This window comes from Homo sapiens, chromosome 1 (assembly GCF_000001405.40).
Source record: "Homo sapiens chromosome 1, GRCh38.p14 Primary Assembly".
In the NCBI taxonomy this organism is placed as follows: Eukaryota; Metazoa; Chordata; class Mammalia; order Primates; family Hominidae; genus Homo; species Homo sapiens.
In genome coordinates, this window is record NC_000001.11 from 78,614,584 (window position 1) to 78,620,161 (window position 5,578).

Consider the following 5,578-nt stretch of genomic DNA (forward strand, 5'->3'; position numbering starts at 1 on the left):
TTTAACTTTGCAGGATTTTATTTTAAGTTGTGTGTCTTTGATAAGAAGTTCTTAATTTTCAAATTTTAATTTTATTATTTTAAGGGGTTAGCACCTTTTTGCCTTTAAGAATGCTCTGTCTACGCCAAAGCCTGGAAATGTTCTAAAACTTTTAATTCTAAAAGTATGATTGTTTTACCTTTCACATACAAGTTTGCAATCCATTTGGAATTTATTTTTAAGTATGGTATGAGGTATGGGTCAAAATTAATTTGTCTTCTGTGCCTATCAACTGACCTAGAACCATTTATTGAGTGGTTTCTCCATTTTCTCCATTGTATTCCCATGTCTTGTTTGTCATTAATCAGGTGATAGTCTATGTGTGAGTCTGTCTCTGGGCTCTATTCTGTTCAATTGGTCAATTTGTCTCTCTTTGCGTTAATAACATAGCATCTAATTGTCTTAATCTCTCCTGGCTGCTATGACAGAATATGATAAACTAGGTAGCTTTTAAACAAAACAAACTTATTTCTCACAATTCTGCAGGCTGAGAAGTCCAAGTTCAAGGAGCCAATAGGTTCAATGTCTGATGAGGGCTGCTTTTTGGTTTATAGATAGTAATGTATTGCTGTGTCCTCACACAGAGTAAGAGGAAGGCAGCTCTCTGAGGCCTCTTCTATAAAAGCACTAAGTTCATTTATAAAAGCCTGCCCCCGTGACCAAATTACCACCTAGAGGGCCCACATCCTTAAACCATCACATTGGTGATTAGGTTGTAACATATGAATTTAGGGCAGTGTTGGTATATAGAAATGCAACTGATTTTTGTGCATTAAATTTATTTCCCGAGACTTTACTGAATCCATTTATCAGGTCTAGGAGTCTTTTGGAGGAATTTTTAGGGCTTTCTAGGTATAAGATCATGTTGTCAGCAAACAGAGATAATTTGACTCCCTCTTTTCCAATTTGGATGCCTTTTATTTCTTTCTCCTGCCTGATTGCTCTGGCTAGGTCTTCCAGTACTATGTTAATAGGAGTGGTGAGATTAGGCATCCTTGACTTGTTCCAGTTCTTAGGGGGAACGCTTCCAACCTTTGTCCATTCAGTATGGTGTTGACTGTGGGTTTGTCAGAGATGGCTCCGGTATGTCCCTTTGAGGTCTAGTTTGTTGAGGGTTTTTAAAAAAAATCATAATGAGATGTTGTATTTTATCAAGTGCTTTTTCTGTGTCCACACAAAAAATTGCCTAGGAATACATTTAACTGAGGAAGTGAAAGATCTCTACAATAGGAATTATGACACACTGAGGAAAGAAATTGTAGATGACACAAACAAATGGAAAAACATCTAATACTCATGAATAGGAAAAATAAATATCATTAAAATGACCATACTTCCCAAATCAGTTTACAGATTCAATTACTGTAGTCATTTTTCACAGAATTAGAAAAAACAATTCTAAAATTCATATGGAACCAAAAATGAACCCAAAAGTCAAAACAGTCTGAGCAAAAACGGACAAAGCCAGAGGCATTACATTACCTGACTTTATACTATGTGGCTGTAGTAACCAAAACAGCATGGTACTGGTACAAAAATAGATACATAGTTCAATGGGACAGAATAGAGAACTCAGAAATAAAGCCCCATACCTACAACAAACTGATATTTTACAAAACTGACAAAAATAAACAATGAGGAAGGGATACGCTATTCAGTAAATGGTACTGGGAAAACTGACTTGCCATGCAGAAGAATGAAACTGGACCCCATATATCACCATATACAAAAATTAACTAAAGGTGGATGAAAACATTAAGTGTAAAGCCTGAGAGTATAAAAATCATAGAAGAAAACGTAGGAAAAAATTCTTCTGGACATTGGCCTAATCAAATAATTTATGACTAAGACCTAAAAAGCAAATGCAACAAAAACAAAAATAGAGAAATGGGACTCAATTAAACTAAAGAGCTTTTGCACAGAAAAAGAAGCAACAGAGTTAACAGACAACCTACGAAATGAGAGAAAATATTTGCAAACTATGCATCTGACAAAGAACTAATGTCCAGAATCTATAAGGAATACAAACAAATCAACAGAAAAATAACCCCTTTAAAAAGTGGGCAAAGGACATGAACAGACATTACTCAAAAGAAGACAGAAAAGAGGCCAACAAACATATGAAAAATGTTCAACATCACTAATTGTCAGGGAAATGCAAATTAAAACCACAGTGAGATATCATCTCACACCAGACAGAATGGCTATTACTAAAAAGTAAAGAAATAACAGATGTTGGTGAGGATGTGCAGAAAAGAGAATGCCATACACTTCTGGTGGGAATGTAAATTAGTACAAGTCCTATGGAAAACAGTATGGAGATTTCTCAAAGAACTAAAAATAGAACTACTCTTTGACCCAGCAATCCCACTATTGGTATCTACTTAAGGGAAAGGAAATCACTTTACCAAAAAGACACCTACACTTTTATGTTTATCGCAGCATCATTTACAATCTCAAAGTCGTGGAATCAATCTAAGTGTTCATCAGTAGTTGACTGGATAAAGGAAATGTGGCACATATTTCATACGATGGAATACTATGCATAAATTCATGTTCTTTGCAGCAACATGGGTGGAGCTGGAGGCCGTTTTTCTACGTGAAATAACTCGGAATCAAAAAATCAAATATCAGATGTTCTCACTTACAGTGGGAGCTAAACAATGGGTACACATGGATATAAATATGGAAATAGTAGATGTTGAGGACTCCAAAAGAGAGGTGGAAGAGGGCAAAGCCTTGAAAAACTATCTATTGGATACTATGTTCGCTATTTGAGTAATGCTTTCACTAGAAGCCCAAACTTCAGCGTTACATAATATACCTATGCAACAAACCTGCACCAGTAACCCTGAATCTAATGTTTAAAAAAATGAATTTAGAGGGGCGATGCAAGCATCCAGACTATTGCACATGTTTATGAAGGTTTTATAATATTACGTCTTCTAGTTTCATTTTCTTTTGCTCCAGTTATCAATTTATTCCCTCAGCTCCAAACTCATGCATTGCCCAGTCTCTGAAAATGGAAACAGTCCCTTTAAATGTTTTTCCTTTGTCAGCCGGCATAAACTTAACTTTTGTCAGTAGAGGGCGCTGAAGAGACATTGCAAGAGAAAGTTTTGCTCTCTGGTTCTGCAGATTTTGAAGCACGTGTTACTTCCCAGGGCCAGCTTCTGCAGCAGGCACAGCTATTCCAGTGCCAAGCTCCTGCAGTGAGTCCATGGTGGCCAGCAGAGCCTAGCAGCTTTCAGCTTTCCTCAGTATGCCCCTAAGGTGGTTTTGTAGCAATGTGACTCGGGTGAGACATTTCCCTCCCACCAGCTTTCCCCAGTAGCATAGAGTGTGAATTTCCAGCAGTTGTTACCAGTGCAGCGCCATAAGCACTTTTCTGGCATTTCGCGAGCCACAGTCACATCCATGGTCTGGCTATCAGCCTGCCAGGACCTCTTCATTGTCTAATATTTAAAATAATTCACTAGCAAAGTCATGGGGGTTGGGGATTTTCGTTGTAAGAAAGTTGTCCTTTAATTTTTTTTGCAATAATTTCACACTTACAGAAAAGTTGAAATATAGTACAGAAAGTTTTCATATACCCTTGATTCAACTTTCCTTAAAATTAACATTTCTCATAACCAGAGTAAAATTATCAACACCAAGAAATTAACATTGGTATAATATTATTAACTAAATCACAGATCTCATTCAAATTTCATTAGTTTTTCTATTAGTGTCCTTTGTCTGTCCCAAGATCCATTTAAGATCTCACAATGTATTTAGTTGTTTCTTTAGTCTCCTCCAGTCTGTGACAGTTCCTTAGTCTTTCCTTGTCTTTCAGGATCTTGACACTTGAAGAATTCTGGGAAGTTATTTTATAATATGTCCTTCAGTTTGAGTCTGTCTGATGTTTTCTCATGATTAGATGAAAGTTATGCAAAAATACCACACAAGCGATGCACTCTTCTCTGTGAATGATAACTGGGGTACCTGGCATCAATATGCCCATCCTGGCAATGTTAACTTTGATCGTTTATTTGAGGTGGTATCTGTAGGATTTATCTACTTTAAAGTTACTGTTTTTTTCTTTTGAAATTAATAAATATACCAGGGGAGAGTCTTTGAGGCTATATAAATATTCTATTTCTCTCCAAATTTATACTCATTAATTTTAGCATACATTGCTGGATGATGCCTATAAACATTTATTACTATAGAGTTTACCTAATACTGATTTTCTACTTCACTAATTTTTCCTACATTTATTAATTGGAATTTAGAATTGTGAATTCTCACTCATTTATTTACTTACTCAGTTATTTATTTATATCAGTATAGATATTTACTTTATTCTATGGTGATAATCCAATACTCTTATTGTTTTTTTCTCTCAAATTGTTCGGCTTTTGGTCATTTCTCTGCCTTCTGATACGCCCCATTTGTTTTTGAGCATCTTCTTACTTTCTGGCATGAGAAGATATTCTACGTTCATTTTGTAGTTTTGTGATCCCAGACCTGTAGTCAAACATTTCTCCAAGTAGCCTTGTTTCCTTTTATTGGAGACTGATATGACACGATAGCTGGCTAACACCTTGAGTGACAGACCCTGAGCAGAGAATCCAGCTGAGTCATGCTAATCTCCTAATCCATGGAAACTGTGCAATAATATATTTGAATTGTTTTAAAGCCTGTGGATAGTGATAACTTGTTACAAAGTAAGATAAAACTGATACACCCTTTTTTTCTAAGACATTCAATTTTGATATGCCATTCCTCTGCTTTTAGAGCCTTAATAACTTCTCATTGTCTTAATGATAAAATCCAACTTAATTAAAAACTTGCAAGGCCCTCTTGCACCCTCGTCACCTCCCTAGCCCCACCGCTTATGAATCCAATGCTGTCACTCCATTCCAGACAGACCGAAATACTTGGATGGCCCTGATGACACCGTGTTCTCCTGACTTCCTTGCTTTCATTTCATGTCTCAGTTTAAACTTTGATTTGCTAGCAAGCCTTTTACAAGTGCCCCAAGACTGGATGAGGCTACTGTTCTCCTGGCTTTCAGAGAATCTTGTTTAGTCCTTAGCCCAGTAATTCAGTTGTCTGTGTCTGACTGTCTTCTTGAGTATACAGCACTCTCTTTGAGGGCATTTTTTTCATTTTAATTTTTATGTTTTAAATCTTACCCACCGTTATCCTTCCCCAGGGTCTATGCCAGTGTGGACTGAGTGAAGGAGTAAATGAGCAAATGAACAGTGTAATGCCTTATGAATTCAGCAAAAGCCGAATCATCATCTGTTTGTTCCAGTGCAGACAGGCTTGGCTTTGAACAGCATCCAGCTCCACGATTCTATCAGCTAAATTTTTTTTTTGTACTTTAAGAAATAGGGATAGTCATAGTGTTTACTGTACGCAGTTGTTCTGAGGAGAAATTAGGAAAAGGTATGCAGTTACACAATGCCACGTACAACTCTAAATTCCAATTAATAAATGTAGGACAAACGAGGGAAGTAGAAAAATGCACAAGAAATGTTAACTATTAGCT